This window comes from Homo sapiens, chromosome X, assembly GCF_000001405.40.
Source record: "Homo sapiens chromosome X, GRCh38.p14 Primary Assembly".
Lineage (NCBI taxonomy): Eukaryota > Metazoa > Chordata > Mammalia > Primates > Hominidae > Homo > Homo sapiens.
The window spans coordinates 129,586,728-129,606,823 of NC_000023.11; the positions used below are offsets into that span (position 1 = coordinate 129,586,728).

Consider the following 20,096-nt stretch of genomic DNA (forward strand, 5'->3'; position numbering starts at 1 on the left):
GATTTAAACACAAGGCATCCACGTAATAAACATCATAAACGCAAATGAAATGCAGAACAATTAAGTGAAGCATTTAGGAAAGGACATCCTTTAACTATGGGACTCGCTATCAAGTGCCTTCTGACCAGGAGTGTCCCCAGTGAGAAGAAATGGAAAATCTTAAGAGATGAAGATCACATTTTACCTGCATGACCAGAATTTGAAGGACTTTAAGTTATACACCAAAGTCTTTATTCTGAGACCCCTTTGATTCTCATACTTTTCCATCTATTAGGAGAAATCCCTTCTGCAAATGGTTCCTTTGGATGAAGGTGCCAGTGAGAGACCCCTTCAGGTTCCCAAGGAGATCTGGCTTCTAGTAGATCACCTATTCAAATACGCCTGTCACCAGGTAAGTGAGAGTAGACCTTCCCTACAACTTTGGAAGGTGTGTAACTACTATAGGAAATCACAACACCTCACGTCAGCATAGCGCTTTTAACTTTCCCAAGCTACCTGCACACAGTGGCACTGTCAGATCGACTGGGTGGGTGGAAGTGTCCTAGTCACAGATGTCACAGCTGAAGCATGTAAAGGTAAGTTATTTACTAAGACAAAGGCCTAAGTGTAGTTGTGGCAGAGCCAGGACCAAATTAAGAGCACCTGTCTCCTGGCTACCCTCTCATTTTCCCTGGACAGCTGCACACCTGAGTCTATAATGCCTACTTTGGCTATGAGTCATGTAGGCATTAGAGATTGTAAAATCCAAAGCAGATTTTAAACCCATTTTTTAACTTGGTCCTAATTTTTCTTTTAAATCCTAACTAAAATGCCACCCCACCTCATTCGCCCCCAAAAGAGATATTTCTTGGGACTAAATTGAAAGGTAATGTTCTCTTACCTACTGACGAATAATGTAACTTGAAAGCAAGGTTTAGTATGAGCATGCGATTTCCTCCTTCCCCAGCGTTCAGTAGTACTAGCATTTGAATGTGGTTATTCTGTTTGGACTCTGCCTTCTGCTGCTTGTCAAGAGGCTACAAGTAGGCCAGGCATGGTGGCTCATGCCTGTAATCCCAGCATTTTGGGAGGCAGAGACGGGCGCATTGCTTGAGCTCAGGAGTTTGAGACCAGCCTGGGCAACACGGTGAAACCCCATCTCTATAAAAAAAAATTTTAAAGGAGGCTAGAATTAGAACACCTGGTTTCCTGCTCTAGCCATCTAGTCCCCTGCCTTATTAGGTACAGGCTAAAACCTTTGAAAAGATCATTTTCCTATTTGAAATAACATTTCACATGGATTAGAGAAATGCTAAAGGAAAAATGTGTTATTTTCACACCTCCATTTGTAATTATTAACACACATACCACCCTTCCCTTTTGCTTCCTGCTGCTCTTCTGATCCTTGGGTAATCATCATAACCTCAGGAGTGATTATCTTGCCTGTCCCTTCATTCTGACTTCTTTGGTAGGAGGACCTGTTCCAGACCCCTGGAATGCAGGAAGAGCTCCAGCAGATCATTGATTGTCTGGATACCAGCATTCCTGAGACAATCCGTATCCTTTGCGACCAAAGCTTAAGAAGCTGGATGAGTACTTGATCAAACTCTTCTTCGCACCTATATTTGATTTTTGTGGTTCTATATTTATTTTCTTTGTAATATCTTTTATTATAAGATAACCACTGACTATCCACTTGTTTCTCATTTCCTTTCAGGAACTTTTGACCTCTTTCCATATCCAGCTCTTACTAAAAGGAAGCAAGGGGTAGATAACAATGACTTAAAAGCATGGGACATAGAAGCCACAGCACTGGTACTATTCTCCTTCAGGTGATCAGTCACTCCTGCCACCACACGTACTGTTGACAGGGCAGGGAGAAGGATGGGAAACATGGGCACCTGGTTTATAGGACTGCTCCAGTGTCAACTGTCACTCTGCAGGCTATATTCCCCTGACCCTGAAGCTGGGCCAAAGCTGCCAAGAGTCTTTGACCAATTCTGTAACAACTCACCTGCAGGGCACTTGAATCAATAAAATATCAAACCCCCATTAGGATCAATGTGCCCTGAATAAGAGGAGGGAAACAGTCCCTGTAGGAGCTTGAGGAAAGGAGCTCGTCGGGGCTCTGTGTGGCCTTTCTCCTGGAGCTCCTTTCCCTTGACTTAAGTTGATTCAGCTGGCAGCAACCACTCTGTGGCTGAAGCACTGCTCATTTTCTTGGAAGCCCTGCCAGAGCCAGTCATCTGTTACGAGCTGTATCAGCGATGTCTTGACTCTGCTTATGATCCCCGGATCTGCCGACAGGTGGGTTCTACTGACCTGGGGATGTGTTTGACGCAGATTGCCCCATAGAGAAGTCGTCAGTTTTACAGAGCCAGATAGGCAGCCAGCTGTCTGGTAGGATGGGTCTGCATCTGTTATTAATGGCAGGACACCAACATTGAGAGTTGCTACCCTTAAATTTTAGGTTGTGTTGTTTCCTACGATATTTGCCACCTTTTTCCCATTGGCCTATTTCTGTTTACAGAAAACATAGTGGGGTGGATCCCTCTACTCTGGGGTAAATTGGTGAAGCTGATTGTACGTGGAATTCTGGCTGACATTACCAGGAAGGATGGGTGACACTTGGGAGCCTTTCTTCTTTTTCTCTTCTTGGTGTGTGTTTTTAATCCTGAAATGATTTTAATGCACAGTAGCTGACAGTACCTGTGAATTGGACTAGTGAGTATTGAGAGGAGTCCCCATCCATGCTAAGTGACATTGTAAAGAAAACCATTCAAACAAAAAAGAACAGAAAACCATTCAGCTTGGTAGGTGCCGTGGCTACATGCCTACGGAAATGGGAAAAGAACAGATGAACACTGACCTATTGTGAGGCAGGGTGTGCGTATGAATGTGTGATGACCACGTGGCCTGGTCATTGAGTGGACAGGGACCAAACAGCACGGCCACTCTTACTTTGAAGTTATAATTTGGAAGGTATTGTGTTGGCCATGAGGAGATAATAGAAGTTAGACAGATGAAATGGGTCCTGCAAGGGTTGGATTATAGACTACTATTACAGCAGCTGTAAGTTCCTCTTACTTTCATCTTCCACCTGTTTTTCTCACTGCCTGCCCCTATTTTTAAAAACAGGTGATCTCCCAGCTTCCGAGATGCCATAGAAATGTTTTCCGTTACTTGATGGCATTCCTTCGAGAACTCTTAAAATTCTCTGAATACAATAGCGTCAATGCCAACATGATCGGTAAGAGTGCTTCATGCAACACGGGGCGTTTGTTGAGAATACTCTTAGTGCATTGTATCCAGTATATACCTTACTGCATATGCAGGCACATGGCAGTCAATAGTCCTTGTCCCCAGGCCCTCCAGCCCTGAGGTTTTGCTTAGGTTATGTCTGACAGAAGTTTCCGCTTGTCTTTCTCTCGTCTTGTAGCTACTCTCTTCACTAGTCTTCTCCTGAGGCCTCCACCCAACCTTATGGCAAGACAGACTCCAAGTGACCGCCAGCGTGCTATTCAGTTCCTTCTGGGCTTTCTGCTTGGGAGCGAAGAAGACTAAGGCTTTTACTGTTCTCTGATATTCTAGAAGCAGACGATCTCGGGCTCCAAGTATTTCAGAATGATTTAAAAAGTCATGCCACAGGAAGGGTCTATTGCAGAATTTCAAGTTCTGTTTATAGTAAAAAGGAAGAGCGTTTCCTAATCCCTCCTTTACCATATCCTACACAGAAAAATACTTTTAGACTTATATTGCCAAGCCAAAGTTACCATATTTTGGTGTTTTTGTGTTTTCTCTTTATAAGGCAAAAAGATCTGTATTTACACTCCTTCACCTAGGGATGTGTTTGTTGCCCTCCTACCCAATTGTCATGATTGTCCTTAGTACCCTAGGCCTAGATTCTGAGATCTTCCCATTCTAGGCCTACAAGCACTACTTGCTGTAGCTGAGACTTGTCTAGAGTCCTTTGTTTTGCACTTTTGACCCACCCCTTCCTGGATCACTCCTTTGCACTCCACTCCCCTCGTTCTGTCACTTTGAACGAAGTCTGAGTGAGGCTAGTGACTCCTTGGGTGTCCTCAACAGTGAATTCACTGTCTGCGTGCAGTTATTACATGCATTTGTGCATTTCTACTACAATGGCATCTTTATGTCTCTGTAACATTGGCCTTTTCATGGCTCCACACTGGGTGGAACCATATTCTCTTAGATCACATTTAGTAGCATAACTGTAGGGACTATTAGAGATGGCATCTCATCGATGAGAGAGAATCACAATCAGAATGGAAGCACTTTGAGTATCTGAAGAGTGAGAGCATTCATGTTTGACAGGTCCTGCTTCCCACTATCCTTTTCCTGTTATTATTCAAATTTTACACAAGGACTAATCCTGGGTGTCTCTGAGACCCATCTCCTGCCTAGACATCCACCTCCAGAGCAACACTGGCCCCACAGTAAAAGAGGAAGTCTTGTACCTCAGGCAGGCCCATCTAGAGCTATTGCTCCTTCCCACAGCAAAGGTATTGTGGATGACCCTTAGAATCCATTCTCTGGTCTTCTGAAATACCAAGGGCAGATGTCACCTCCTTCCTCAGCAGGACTGACTCTGGGCTCTACAACCAGCTCCTTCACATAAAGGGTTTAGAGACTCCCCTTGGCTCCCAGTCACCATATCCAGTGTTGTGTAAAGAGACTGGCCAACAGGACCAACCAAGCACCTTACCTCTCCCATACAAGATGACCCTCTGAGCTTTTCATTTATTCAAGCTCTGTGGTACAGCCTTTTTTTAAAATAAATTAATCTATATTGGTTGACAAACAAGCCACCAACCACTGACTGCAAAACTGCCTGATGCAGTTGGGTTCCTCCTGGTTTTCTTTTGTTACAACCACCCTTGCCTGTTTACATTAATTGCAAGGAGCATAACGTACAGGCTGTATGTACAATCCTGGGCATTGACTCTGTGACATTTCTAGCATATCCAAGGCACCACCAGTGATTTCTCCTGTTTCTTGGTGGGGGTGGGGGGGAAGGTACGTATTCTGCAATATGGCTAAACCCTTTCCTGATTGAGAGTTAAAGCAATAGGAGTCAAGTTACTGGTGCCACAGATCTGGAGGTATGATAGGTCAGGGGCTAGGTGTTGAACTTAGTTAATGGAAGACTGAGAGCAGAACAGGTTTGTCATCTCCGCAAGGCCAGAAAGTGATCACAAAAAGAGGCAGATGATAGACACTGGGGTAGGGTCATACCACAGGGAAATACCTTTCCTGGGCTTGTTTTCTAGCATATCACTGACCTGGGATCTTTGGGTGATCAAGGGTGTGGTTAGTGGAGGCTCTGTGCTGCACGTATGCAGTATCCTATCTCTTTCTACATCAGATCAAAACACTAAGTTGGTGTACTGCCTCGACCTTTTTTCAGCTCATCCTGGAACATATACAGAGTTGAGAGTTTTAGACAATCTCTAGGTAGAGGAGACAAGATGTAGACCCAGACAGAAGAAATCTGCTTCCCTACCATGGCTATTCCAGCACCCCAACCTGTAATTGCCAAGTCCTCTAAGGTACTAATTTGTAGCTGCTCTGAAGTAAGGATTTCGGATTCAGCTGGTAGGGAAAGACTCTGCACCTGCTGTCTTAGGGAAGAAATGGTTCAAATCCATGTGGTGACATTGCATTAGTCTCCCTTTCACTGTTTTCTTATTCTGTAATTGTTTGTTATATTTCCCAAAAACGTCTTGATCACTAAGCAAAGCTGCTAGTGGGATTCTATATTTCGTGTCATCTTTTTTATTATAATTTATTGCAAATTTTTTTCTGAATAAATATATGTTGTGTGAAAAAGCAAAGTGTGATTTTGGTGAGGAAGCACTCAGAAGGGAGGGCTTATGTGTCACTGGGTTCCATTCGACTTGACTGCAGTCCCCATCAGCTGTGCCTGCACTGTCATCACCTGTCTTACAGGGAAATACCATTTATAAGAATTCTTAGTATATTCACCCTCAGAGATGAGAAGAAACCATGCGTTTTCAGAGGCTAATAAAGGTGTCCTGTACTTTCAGAGGCCAGCCAAGTACCCTTATTTTAACCCTAAGGATTCAGGCAACAAAACAACTCAATTAGAGGAAAGGATGTTGATTCTTAATGCATGTAAATGTCACACTAGGTCAGATCTGTGATCCCTCCGGCCCCAGAAACAAACCCTAAGATACACATCTGGGGAGAACCCAGCTACCCCTGCTCAGTAGTCTCAGTAGTTTAGACGCGCTTCCCCAAAGAGCTTGTTTTCACATAATCCTATTTTGCAGCTTTTGAAAACCAGTTTTGAACTTTTATGACTTCTTGGGGTGATCAAGTCCATAAATTTAGTACTTTTTTGTTGTTCTAATCTGAACTGCCTAACACGTTGGGAGGAAACCGCTGATTTGAGCATGGTGCCAATGCTTCCCTGCCAATCTCCATTATGAATTTGTGGATTCTGATTCCATTCCCTTTGAGACTGAAGAAGCCTCAGCTGGAGGTTTCTTCTCTACTAAGGCCCTCTTCCAATTCCCTCCAACTGTGAGCTTGACCCTGATGAATGTGCTGACTCAGTGTTGTCATAAACAACTTTCAAAGCCCCACCCAAAGCCTTGGCAGGAGAAGGTGTTTCTTTCTGAGAGTGATTTTCCCCCCAGCAGATGGAGACTGACACCAGAAGTTTTTACATAGTAGCAGGCAATGAGAATAGCAGGCAGGTGGTCAGTCTTTCCAGAGGTTAGAGAGGAAATGGCATCCCCAGCTGTGAGGCTTCTGTTATAGGAGACCCATTAGGACCTTTCTGATTGCAGGGCAAGTTGAAGAACTGGCTCTTGGTGTAGCCTCATAATGTAAAAGCCACACATTGCAACAGTGGCATCACTAAATGTTAGGGAGAGAACCTTAGTGGTGACCTAATCCAATCTCATTGTTTGGATAGGGAAAGTCTCAGAGGGGACAATGACTGACCTAAGGTTACTTAGGTTAGTGACACTGCATGGCATAGTGGCATTTGTTTTTTCAAGCAGTTCTACTCTGCTTGCCCATTAATTCCTTTGGTGGCATCTTATCAATTTCCGTGGCTGTAAATGTCTGTAATACCCCTGATTCCAAATGTTACGTCTCCACCTCATAGCTCTCTTCCGAGTTCCTGCCCAGTATATCCAATTAGTTAGCTGGCATCTCCCCTCAGATGTCTCACAGGCATGTCAAGCTTCACACGTCCAAAGTGGAATTCTTTTACTTCTGGTTCTTTTACTACCACCCAACCTAGATCCTCTACCTGTCTTCCCTCAGCTCAGAGAATGTCAACACCATCTGCCCAGTTGCTGGGGCTAAGCATCTAGGAGTTAGCCTTGATTTCTCTCTTTCCTACCGACCGACCACCTCAGCAACGTGCCCCACGCGTCTGCTTTTCATCACCCCCACTGCCAATTTTATTGGTCAAGGCCACCACCATCATCCCTTCTTAGGGTGTCGTCATGGCCTCCTGCCTAGTCTTCTTTCTCTCTCTCTCTCTTTTTTTTCTTTTTTGAGACAGGGTCTTACTCTGTTGCCTCAGCTGGAGTGCAGTGGCATGATCGGCTCACTGCTGCAGCCTGACTTCCCAGGTTCAAGCGATGCTCCCACCTCAGCCTCCGAGTAGCTGGGACTGTAGGCGCACATTACCAAGCCTGGCTAATTAAAAAAAAAATAATTGTAGAGGTAGGGTCCCCCTGTGTTGCCCAGGCTGGTCTCAAACTCCTGGGCTCAAGCAGTCCTCCCACCTTGGCTTCACAAAGTGCTGGGATTAGAGGCATGAGCCCACCATGCCCTGCCTGGTCTTTTTAACTTTGCTGCCCTCCAATCCATTTTCCACGCAGCAGGCAGCATGACTTAATTACATCAGTCTCATCCCTCCCCTGTTGATAACCCTTCAGCGACATTTACAATGAAACCTAAGCTTCGCCATGGCCCACCAGGCCCTGCATCAATGGGTCTCAAATCTTCATGTGCAGAAGAATCACCTGGATACATTGTTAAAAAGCAGATTCCTAGGCTCCAGAAATTCTGAGTCAGTTGGTCTGAGAGGAGGCACAGGAGTCTGCATTCTAAATCAGGACCCAAGAGCATTTTGATGCAGGACCACACTTTGAGAATACCACCCTAAAGGATCTGACCTCTGCCTACCATAACCCTTCCTCACCCCTGCCAATATACTCTGATACTGTCCTTTTACTCCTCCCAGTGAGCTGAACTCTTTCCAGCCTCAGGGCCTTTGCATGTGCTGTTTACCCAGAAAACTCCTTCCTCTCTCTTTCTTGCCTCAGTCCCCATCTTTGCTGTGCCTAACCCTAAGTCACCCGCCCTGTCCCATTGACTCTCTGCCCTCATTCCTGGGCTTCCTGGTATAGCATGCTGGCTGACTGCCCCTGGGCTTGCCATGTACTCTTCCACAATCTTCCTCTTCCTCTCTTGATGACCTCACGTACCTGCTCCACGGGGCCTGGGGAGGCAGGAAGCTATAGTGGTTCTTCACATAGGCTCTAATGACCAGACTGCCTGAGTTCAAATCCCAGCTCTGCCACTTCTAGATGTGTGACCCTGATCAAAAGTTAATTGACGTCTCTGTGCCTTGGTTTCCATGTCTTTTCTCTCCAGCTTTATTGGGTATAATTGAGAAGACAAATTGTACGTATTGAAGGTGTTTCCACATCTTAAAAGTAATGATAGCACCTTTCCTCATAGTATCATCATGAGGATGAGATCAGATACTACATTTCCAGGCCTTGGAACAGTGCCTGGTGCCTAAGTGCTAAATAAATGGCAGCTAGTGCAATTATTCCCAAGCCCTCCATGGGCCTCCAGGCCCAGAACCCGCTTCTGCTGCCCTTCAGCTCCCAGCAAGTGACTGTACCCTTTACTTTGTGAAAATGTCAAAACAGCCTTGCCCCCTGCACATCAAAATGTCTTCAGCTTAACCTCATCCCTCCCCCTTTCCATCTGTCTGAGAATAAGCGGTCCTCCTCGCCAAGACCAGCTCTTCCACCTGCACTTTTGAGCCCTTCTCCTCCACCCTCTCTGGACTTTTCCCCATCAACCATCACTCCTCCTCCTACATCTCAGTATGGGTTATTCACTTGACAAGTATTTGTTGAGTGGCTCCTGTGCGCCCTGTGCTGTTCAAGGTGCTGGGGATCTAGAATTAAACCAGACAAGGTTGCCGCTCTCATGGTGCCTTCATCAAGAGGGCAGGGCAGGGATGAGGGTGGACAGACATGCAAATTAACAGTACCCAAGGTCACTACAGATCCTGACAAGTACTGTGGAGAGTATCAAACGGGGATGCACTCGAGGGTACAGCGGGGGGCCTTGGTCAGGAAAAGTTTATTTGAGGAGGTGATGTTTTAGCTGAGACTTAAACCTCAGGAAGCCAAGACACCGTATCTTGATTTGAATACCCCCAAAAAGAGCCACACGTGCAAGATCTGGCAAAAGACATTCTGAGCAAAGGAAAAGAGAAATGCAAAGGCCCTAAGGCAGCAAAACAGCTGGCTGTGCTCAGGGGACAGCCAGGCAGAACTCTGTGAGGGACAGGACTTGCTGGACAACTGATGAGCAGGAACGTGATCACAGAGGGCCTGAGGAACCCCAGGCAGGAGCTTGCATTTCATTCGACACCACAGGGAGCCATGGCTGGCTTTACTCAGGGAAGTGACGTGATGTGACTTCTGTATGCTCCTTCTCCTAACCTTAGGAAGAGTAATAACTAATAACTCTAGCTGTCATTTATCCCAGATACTAATACATTTAACATCACTTTTGCCTTTACGATAGCCTGATAAAGTACTACATTATCCCACTTTTTTTTTTTTTTTTTAAGACGGAGTCTAGCTCTGTCACCCAGGCTGGAGTGCGGTAGCATAATCTCGGCTCACTGCAACCTCCACCTCCCGTGTTCAAGCTATTCTCCTGCCTCAGCCTCCCGAGTAGCTGGGATTACAGGCACGTGCCACCACGCCTGGCTAAGTTTTGTATTTTTAGTAGTGACAGGGTTTCACCATCTTGGCCAGGCTGGTCTGAAACTCCTGACCTCGTGATCCACCCGCCTTGGCCTCCCAAAGTGCTGGGATTACAGGTGTGAGCCACCATGCCCGGCCATTAGCCCACTTTTATAGGTGAGAAAACTGAGGCTCAGAGAGACAGCATAACTTGGTACTCGGCTAGTGGCTGACCAGAAAATGACTTCTGAGCCCAAAATTTGTGCTCTTAAACACAGCCATTGTCTCCCCAGCTGGAGTGGGCATGAAGGTGAGGGTGCTTCTTAAAACCCCTATCCCTTCTAGCTACATCCCAAGATTTCATGTCAGCTAGATTGCCTGCTGGCAGGTCAAATTCAACTTCTCTTTGACCTTGACCAGCTTCTCCTGGCATCCTCCTCTCTCCCATCACCCAGGCCTAAGCTTTTGGTTATTTTTGGCCCCTGCCCCACTTTCTAATCAGTTACCAATTGCAATTCAACAAATATTTATCCAGCACCTGCCAAGTGCAGGCTACCATGCAGGGTTCTGAAGGAAACCAAAATGGGTGAGACTGGTCGTTACAAGACAAGACAGACATAATATTTTTGTTTGTTTTGTTTTATTTGACACGGAGTCTCACTCTGTTGCCCAGGCTGGAGTGCAGTGGCGCGATCTTGGCTCACTGCAACCTGCACCTCCTGTGTTCAAGCGATTCTCCTGTCTCAGCCTCCCTAGTAGCTGGGACTACAGGCGCGTGCCACCACACCCAGCTAATTTATTTGTATTTTTATTTTTAGTAGAGACGGGCTTTCACCATGTTGGCCAGGCTGGTCTTGAACTCCTGATCTCAGGTGATCAGCCTGCCTTGGCCTCCCAAAGTGTTGGGATTACAGGTGTGAGCCACTGCACCTGGCCAATATTTTTTTAAAAGAAGGAAAAAAAGGAAAGATGGATGAAAGAAGGGCAGGAAGGAAGAAAAGAGGGAGGAAGATGAGAAAAAGGGAAGAAAGCAAGAAAGAAGAAGGAGGGAGGAAGGAAGGACCTCCACGGAAAAGGGGCCGAGATCAGCTCAACCGCAGTCTCTAGCTGGCCCCTCCTTTCCACTGCGCATTTCCCAGCCCCTCCAACTCCTGCCCCACCCCCCCACCAATAAAATTCAAACACTCATTGCCTCATGTAAGGAGTTAAATCGCCTGATGTATTTAACTCCTTTCTAACTAATTTCTCAGTTGCCAGTTTCTCTCCCTGTACACATCACTGCACTGTTTTGATGTCTCTCCCCTATTCCAGACCCCTGCTGGCCCCCCAGCCCACTTGCCACAGAAGTTCCAATCCTTCTGCCTGGCATGCAAAGCTCTCCTTAGTCTCTTCCACCCACCTCTCAGGCTGAGTCTCCCACTCGACCTTCTCATGCCGTTCCCTTCCCTAAACTCATGCGCACTCTCTGCTTTGGCTCGGTGGTCTGTACCAGCCACCTGGAACCCTCCAGCCCCCACCTCTCCACCTGCCCAAACCCCATCAAACCCAAATGTCACCTCTTCCAGGAAGCCTTTTCCCACAACCCCTGCCCACCACCCCCCTCCCCCGAACTCCTAGAACCTGCCCTCTGTACCACTATTTTAACACACTACATACCAAAGGATGTTGTTGCCCCTTTGGGACTGGAAGCTTCAGGAGAGTGGGAACCAAGCTGGGCGTATTTTAGTTTCCCCACAATGCCTTGCAGAGAGTAAGTGTTCAATGATGTTTGGCTAATAAATAAAGATTGTCTGTTAAAGCATAAGTGTATCCAATAAGTGTTCCTGAAATGTATATACATTTAATTATTCATTCTGAGCTCTATTAACTTTAGAGGAGTTCATGTGGTAGGGGGGGACTTACTGAATTATATTAATGTAATCCAAGAAGATAATAGTTTTTAGCAACCACACAGTACTGTTATTTTCTATTGTTTTGTAGGCAACAAAATCAGCCTTGTTAAATTTGCTTTTTAAAATTGATTCTCAAAGTTTATTAAAAAATTAGAACTAGAACTACCATATGGTTCAGCAATCCCACTTCTAGAGATATATCCAAAAGAATTGAAAGCAGGGTCTCAAAGCTATATTTGCACACCCATGTTCCTAGCAGCATTATTCACAATAGCCAAAAGATGGAAGCACCCCAAATGTCCATGGATAGAAAAACAAAATGTGTTAGTTCTCTACATACAATGGAATATGATTCAGCCTTAAAAAGGAAGGAATTCTGACACATGCTGCTACATGGATCAACCTTGAGGACATTATGCTAAACGAAATAAGCCAGTCCCAAAAAGCACTGTATGATTCTACTTCTATGAGGTCCCTAGAATAGTCAAATCCATAGAGAAAAGAAGCATGGTGTTACCAGGGGCTGGGGATTGGGGAAATGGGCAGTTGTTTGATGGGTATACAGTTTCAGCTTTGCAAGATGAAAATGTTCTGGAGATTCATTGCATAGCAATGTGAATACTCCTAACACTATTGAACTCTACACTTAAATATGGCTAAGATGATCAATTTTATGTTTTGTGCTTTTTTTTTTTTTTTGAGTCTAGCTCTGCCACCCAGGCTGGAGTGCAGTGGCGCGATCTTGGCTCACTACAACCTCCGCCTCCCAGGTTCAAGCGATTCTCCTGCCTCAGCCTCCCGAGTAGCTGGGATTACAGGCACCCGCCACCATGCCCAGCTAATTTTTGTATTTTTAGTAGAGACAGGATTTCACTGTGTTGGCCAGGCTGGTCTCAAACTCCTGACCTCGTGATCTGCCCTCAGCCTCCCAAAGTGCTGGGATTACAAGCATGAGCCACCGTGCCTGGCCCCTGTTTTGTGCTTTTTACCATGATTAACATTTTTTTTTTATCTTAAGTGATTTTCCAAAGGCAAGTCTGATCACATCACCCCTCTCTGGGTCCCAGAATTCTTACCTGGACCCACAAGCCTTGGCTTGTCTGCTTGTCATGGACTCAAGCCTCCTCCCACATCCTGCCATCCCCCATTCTTTCAGATGAGATGAGGCACATTCACGGTGGTATGGCCGTAGACCCATCCCCCATTTTTTCAGACTGGACTTCTGTCCTTGTCTGCTCCTTGCTCCCTCTCACCACAGAGCCAACTCCTCCCAAGGCCTCAGTCTCTGCGAAAACAACACTTTCTCTGAGGAGCTTTCCCTGGCCACCTCCTAGCCTAGGCTGTAACATGTCCTTGTGACACGCTCTCCTTGCACCCTTTCCTCTCCTTCACTTTGTAATTACACATTTATTATTTGATCAAGGTCACTCTCTCCCACCAGCTCAGGAACGCTGCTGAGGCAGAGACCACATCTTTTCCTCCCCTTACTATCATATCTCCAGCAGCTAGCCTGATGCCTGGCATCCAGTAATCTTCATCATTGATTATTCCAGTGTTGGCAAAGGCAAGGAAAAACAAGCCCGCCTGCTGCTTGGACAAGAGTAAATAAGTGTCACCTTTCTAAAAGCAATGTGGCAACATGCATTAAGAGCCTGGAAGCATTCACACTCGTAATTTCACTTCTAGGAAATCACCCTAGAGGAGCGCAATGGCGTAAGTCCACCCCTGTTCATCTCAACATACTCATTAGCACAAAAAACAAAGCAATTTACATAACCTTCATCACCAGAAGAAGGGTAAACACATTGTAGATGTTTATGGATATATTATGGCGCCTTTTCAAATAATGTTTTTGAGGAATTGTGATGTGGAAAAATGTTAGGATATAACATGAGGTGGAAAAGGCAGCATATAAGTAGGTATGTACCTAATGTTCCTAAATTTAAAATATCAGATATAAAGATAATACATAGGCACAAAAATAGTGGAAGTCCATTCTCCAAACTGTTAATAGCAGTCACCCCTAGAGGGTGGCATCATGGGCAGTCGTGGCTTCAGAATGTCTACATAGGAGGGTTTAGAAACCATCGAAAGGTAGGCTAGGGGATTCGTCTTGAAGCTGCAAGATGGCCTTTGCTTAGCAAGCAGGGTTTTGCCTTACACTGCATCTATATTCAGAGTCACTATGGGGGTGCTGATGGAGATTAGGATAAAGCCCCCAAGCCACTCTCTGGAGCCAATCTCAATTTTTTTTTTTTTTTACTCTTATTTATATGTCTGGTTTTCTAAATGCTCTACAATGAAGATGTATGACTTTTATAATCAGAAAAAGATTAAGGAAAACATTATTTCATGAAAGAAAGGCACTTCTGTGTGTTGGGATGAATGAACACAGTGTCCTGCTCAAGCACATAGGCGGCTGGACAGGGCCTTGCCAGCACAGTCGCTCACCGCAGCTCCCTCACATCACAAGCCTGCCCTCTCCCTCGCACCCGCAGGCATCTGTCCTCCAGCTGCTGACACAGCTGGGCAGCAAAGGTCCCATCTTGACTGTGCACCTCGGAGGCAGCACCGTGGAGCATGGAGTTCTAAGGCATGTCCACGGGCCAAGCACACTTGTAAAGGCCATTTGACAACAATGGGCTATACCCCTCTACCTCTAACGGTGGCCCTGGCTTTGAAGAGCAAGGATCGTTTTCTGATTGTAGCTGTGGCCACTAGATGGCAGAGGAGAATGACGGTTTCCAGTTGTATAATAAAATTGGTATTTAAAGCTGCAGTTACTTTTCTTATTTCATGATCATTTCTATTTTGGGAAATTCGGTTGACTTTTCTCCTTACAGTCTCTTACTTATGGCCTTAAAAGTCCACAAAAACAAAAACTTTTTTTTTTCAGAACTAGGTTAAAAGTATCTAAAGTTCATGGAAGTTTCAGCACTCTTCATTGAACACAGGTAGAATTAAATCACATTTTCCTCTCTTGCCTCTTTCACTGTCCATCAATGTTTCAAGTTATTTTGAAAGTGTCAACAATGGTTGGGAGGTGATCTCACTGCTGAAAGGTAATGACTTCGATCTTCTCTGGAGAGGGGTCAGCTGGGAAGGAACGATGGAATCAATCGAGGCAGTTGGAGAGGCGGGGAGAAACACAGTTGTGACCTGGGAAGAAACAGACTAATCCCTGGCCAGAAGATGGCACAGCAAAGTGGAGAGGAAGGAGACCAAAAGGGAATGGGGCTTGTTACAGGTTCAGTTGTATCCCCCCAAAATCGATATGTTGAAGTCCTAATCCCCAGTACCTGTGAATGTGACCTTATTTGGAAATAGACTCGTCACAGATATAATTAGTTAAGTAAGATGAGGTTATACTGGGAGTAGGGTGGGCCCTAATCTAATATAACTGGTTTCCTTATAAAAAAGGGAAATTTGGACAGAGACACACACACAGGGAGAACACTGTGTAAAGGCAAAGGCAGGGATCAGGGTGATGCATCTCTAAGCCAAAGAATGCCAAAAATTGCCAGCAAACCATCAGAAGCTCAGGATGGGCATGAGACAGATTCTCTTTCACAGCCCTCAGAAGGAACCAACCCTGCTGACCTCGATTTCACACTCTGGCCTCCAGATCTGTGAGACAACATGTTTCTAAGCCTCCCACTGTGGTACTTTGTTACTGCAGCCCTGGGAAACTAATACAAGGATTTTGGAGCCATGGAATAGTGGTAAAATCGTAATAGAATTTCTTCACTCACTTCTAGGACTGTTGGACCTGATACGTGGGGGTGATGGCTGAAGGATAGAAGTTTCCTCCTCTACCATTCTATCATCCCCTCCACAATCACATTTCTCATTTCTTTTCTTTTTTTTTTTTTTCTCTCTTTTTTTTTTTTTGAGACAGAATTTCGCTCCTGTTGCCCAGGCTGGAGTGCAGTGGCGCGATCTCGGCTCACTGCAACCTCTGCCTCCCAGGTTCAAGTGATTCTCCTGCCTCAGCCTCCTTAGTAGCTGGGATTACAGGCACATGCCACCACGCCCGACTAATTTTTCATATTTTTAGTAGAGACAGGGTTTCACCATGTTGGTCAGCTGGTCTCGAACTCCTGACGTCAGGTGATCCACCCACCTCGGCTTCCCAAAGTGCTGAGATTACAGGTATGAGCCACATTTCTTGAACGAGTTGTCTCCACTTGTTGTCCCCACTTTCTTACCTCCACTCACCCCTCAACCCTTTCTAGCCCATTCCTCTGACATGATTCTCACCAAGGTCACCAGCAACCTCCATGCTGCCAAAACCAAAGGTCGTTTCTCAGTCCTCACCTAACCCAACCTCTCAGCAGCATTCCACCCCTTCTTCAGGAACACTCCCTTCACCGGGGTGCAGGAACTCCACACTCTTCCCAGAGTTCCTGCTGCCTCACCAACCACTCCATCTCCATCTCCATTGCAGGCTCCTCTACTTTCTTGGCCCCGCCACTAGATGATGGCATGTGCTGAGGTTTAGGCTTGGGTCACTTCTCTTCTTACTCTATACTCTCTCTCTCGCTCCATAAACCCCACTCACTCCTCTGTCTGCAGCTGTCTCCAAACTCTATCTGAAGCAGTCTGTTGCTGCCACCATACACTTCAGACTTGTTTACAGTGGCATTACATCCTATTCAGGTTTACATCCTTTTTTTTTTTTTTTTTTTTTTGAGACAGAGTCTCGATCTGTCACCCAGGCTGGAGTGCAGCTGCATGATCTCAGCTCACTGCAACCTCCACCTCCCGGGTTCAAGCGATTCCCCTGCCTCAGCCTCCCGAGTAGCTGGGATTACAGGCGTGCGCCACCACGCTTGGCTAATTTTTGTATTTTTAATAGAGATGGGGTTTCACCATGTTGGTCAGGCTGGTCTCGAACTCCTGACCTTGTGATCTGCCCGTCTTGGCCTCCCAAAGTGCTGGGATTACAGGCGTGAGCCACTGCGCCTGGCCAACCATGCTCATTTGTTTATATATTGTCTATACTTGCTTTGGGGCTGCAACAGCAGAGTTGAGTGGTTGCTACAGAGACTGTATGGTCTGCAGAGTCTAAAATACTTACTATCTGACCCTTTACAGAAAGTTTGCCAAACTTTGATCTAGACCAAGCTTGTCCAACCAGTGGCCCGTGGGCTGCATGCGACCCAGGACAGCTTTGCAGGCAGCCCAACACAAATTCATAAAATTTCTTAAAACATTATGAGATGTTTTTGTGATTTGATTTTTTCTTTCTTTTTTTTTCTTTAGCTTTTCAGCTATCGTTAGTGTATTTTATGTGTGGCCCAGGGAAGCCAAAAGATTGGACAGCCCTGATCTACACTGTGGTCTCAGCCTTCACCACTGAAGGCTTGGGGTCCCTTAACATAGTCAGACAGCCAGATGGGAAGGGCTCCCTGGCAGAACCTCCCACGGCCTGCGCACTGGGAAGAATGCGAAGTGGGGTGGAGCCACATAAGTTCCTGTCATTTGCAGCCGGGAGGCGCCAGGCCCCTCCTCTTCCTGGGTGGAACCTGAGATTCAGCAAGCGGAGACAACTCTTTCAAGAAATGTGGCTCACGGCCGTGATCCCAGCACTTTGGGAGGCTGAGGCGGGTGGATCACCTGAGGTCAGGAGTTCGAGACCAGACTGGCCAACATGGTGAAACCCCGTCTCTACTAAAAATACAAAAAATTAGCCGGGCGTGGTGGCGTGCACCTGTAATCCAGCTACTCCTCAGGGGATATAGTAAAGACTAATGACCAAAACTCGAGAGAAAGGAGGGGGCTTGCCATTCCTAGGGCATGGCTCACCATCTGCTGCCAGAGGACATTGGAAGTCAAAGGGAGGCACCAGCAGTGGGTCAGTGACAGCTTCAGCCTCTGCACTACATCCTGAGGTGTCCCCAGTCCTCATAGCACATGCCTGCAGTCTGAAGACAAGAGAGGGAGCTGAGTTTCCTGAGCCAGGCTCCTGTTCAGTCACCCCAGACCAGCTTCAAGCTCTGGCCCACAAAGTCATCTGGGGTCTGGTTGTCTCTCAGCTCCCCTCCTTGGGACATGGATCCTCACCTCTTGCCATACACAGGCTCCAGTGTGGAAGGGATACAGGATGGGGCATTTGGGGGTTCTTTCTGACTGGCTGTGACCCCAGAGAGGGAGGTGTCATGCTGGAGAGTTGGACAGCCACCCTCTATGGCGACCAGCCCTACCACCCGGCCTGGAAACATGCCCACTGTGGGGAACCCAATTGTGAGATTCCCCTCTGCCTCACCCCAGTTTTCTGGGCGGAGATGTCCACAGGCAAGTGTGGGCGGGTCCTCTGGCACATTAAGCTTTATCTGTAGGCTGGTACCTATGAAATCTGGAAGGCTGGGGATTTCGGAATCTCTGACCCATTCAACCTGGAGCATCTTGCTGAGTCCCACCAAGAATGGAGACCTCAGGGCCTAGTTGTTTGATTTGCGAAATGTCATTTTAGGCCACCTCCTTACCAGCGGGTCCACTGCACAAATGTCTTGCTCAGATCCTTAAGAGCTGAGGAGTGCCAACAGCACTCCTGACGGATGGGTGGCCAGCAGCAGAGGCAGGAGCCCTGTGCCCTGCCAGGGGAGAATCAGGAATGAAAAGCTTTCCCAGTGCTGGCTGGGCGCGGTGGTTTACGCCTGTAATCCCAGCACTTTGGGAGGCCGAGCTGGGTGGATTATGAGGTCAGGAGATCAAGACCATCCTGGCTAACATGGTGAAACGCTGTCTCTACTAAAAATACAAAAAATTACCTGGGCGTGGTGGCACGCGCCTATAGTCCCAGCTAGTTGGGAGGCTGAGGCAGAAGAATCGCTTGAACCCAGGAGGCAAAGGTTGCAGTGAGCCCAGATCGTGCCACTGCACTCCAGCCTGGGTGACAGAGCGAGACTCTGTCTAAAACAAACAAACAAACAAAAAACAACTTTCCCAGTGCTTACAAATCCATCTTCCATCTCACCTCGGCCTGCAGTGTGCTGTGTGACCACTAAGAGGCACTGTGAGGTCACAAGAAGCTTGGAGAAGCGCGGCCACCATTTCAGTCCCAGCCTCCGGGAAGTGAGAAAACCCCTAGGGAAAGGTGCAGGATTCTGGGACTCTTTGGGACATCCCTCCCTGGCAGAAAGGATCTATTCTAGTCAGCAGTGGGGACCTGGGCTGGGCACCTCATGCTGGCCGTTGCGAAGGGTGGTGCAAAGAGGAAAAGAACAGAGACCTAAAGGGGCCCTAATTCATCCCAGGCACCGGCCACTGGCAGATGACTGGCCCAAACAAGCCCGGAGGGCCACACTGCAGAACCAAGCAGGAGGCGGAGCCGAGCAGGGAAGGCGGGACCCTGGAGGACGTCTTGGCTCCTGGCTTCGCGGGTTCTTTGGGATGTTTTAGGAAGGACTCTTGACCTCCAGATGTGTGGTGGTTGGAGGTATGGGATGCAGTGGAGGACCCAACACGGAACAAACGGGAGACTGGGTGTTGTTTTGACACCTCCCTTTCATGTTCTCACGTCCATGTCATCGCCAAGTTCTTTCATTTCTACCTCCTGAATATCCCTGGAATTTTTCCCCTTTGACCCAAATCTGCTCCCTCCACCCTTGTCTAAGCCACCATCATCTCTCCTTGATGTCTCCAAGATACGGTTGCCGCATAAAATACAGGACACCCAGTTAAATTTGAATTTCACATAAACACAGAATAATTTTTAGTACATCTTGTACAATACTTGGGATGTACTTATACTAAAAAACCATTGTCTATTATCTGAAATTCCCATTTAACTGGGTATCCGGGGTTTGGTTTTGTTTCACTCTTTTGTTTTGTTTCTAAATCTGGCAACTCGACCAAGAGTTTTCCCAGCCCTGTGCCTCTTCAAGGCTTTCTCTACAGAGCAGCCAGAATGAACATACAGAAATTCAAATCTACCCAGGTCACTGCCTTGCTTAAAACCCTGACCACCTCCCAGCTCTCAACTCCATCTTCCACTGTTTCCCTAAGCCCACAGCATGCCCCCAGCAAACCAAATACACTGTTGCCTCTTAAATGTGCCCCACATCCTTCTACACACTCCCATCCCTGTCCAGCCACCTAAAGAATTCAAACATGGTTATCAAACTCAACTACCACCCCTTTTTGTCAGGCTCTTCCAGACATGTCGCCTGCCTCCCCCAAGCCAAGCACGCCCTCTTTGCACTGTATAGTAGCCTTT

General features: G+C 46.7%; 1 protein-coding gene across 3 annotated transcripts in view, besides 2 other annotated features; it reads left to right on the forward strand.

Moving 5' to 3' along the window:
- OCRL (OCRL inositol polyphosphate-5-phosphatase) overlaps window positions 1–5,829 on the forward strand; it is a 52,298-nt gene extending 46,469 nt beyond the window's left edge. For all 3 annotated transcript variants that reach the window (NM_001318784.2, NM_000276.4, NM_001587.4), the window contains 5 exons: window positions 275–391; window positions 1,452–1,536; window positions 2,159–2,286; window positions 3,118–3,229; window positions 3,419–5,829. In NM_001318784.2, the coding sequence (NP_001305713.1) occupies window positions 275–391; window positions 1,452–1,536; window positions 2,159–2,286; window positions 3,118–3,229; window positions 3,419–3,543 (567 nt within the window). In that variant the 3' untranslated portion in view covers window positions 3,544–5,829. The remainder of the gene's footprint in view (window positions 1–274; window positions 392–1,451; window positions 1,537–2,158; window positions 2,287–3,117; window positions 3,230–3,418) is intronic.
- Window positions 13,864–14,364: an enhancer, noted in NCBI's record as "H3K4me1 hESC enhancer chrX:128734568-128735068 (GRCh37/hg19 assembly coordinates)". NCBI's record gives its function as "activates a minimal SCP1, AML or CMV promoter by ChIP-STARR-seq in primed H9 embryonic stem cells {active_cell/tissue: H9 hESC(primed)}" and the evidence as "EXISTENCE:reporter gene assay evidence [ECO:0000049][PMID:30033119]".
- Window positions 14,365–14,865: an enhancer, noted in NCBI's record as "H3K4me1 hESC enhancer chrX:128735069-128735569 (GRCh37/hg19 assembly coordinates)". NCBI's record gives its function as "activates a minimal SCP1, AML or CMV promoter by ChIP-STARR-seq in primed H9 embryonic stem cells {active_cell/tissue: H9 hESC(primed)}" and the evidence as "EXISTENCE:reporter gene assay evidence [ECO:0000049][PMID:30033119]".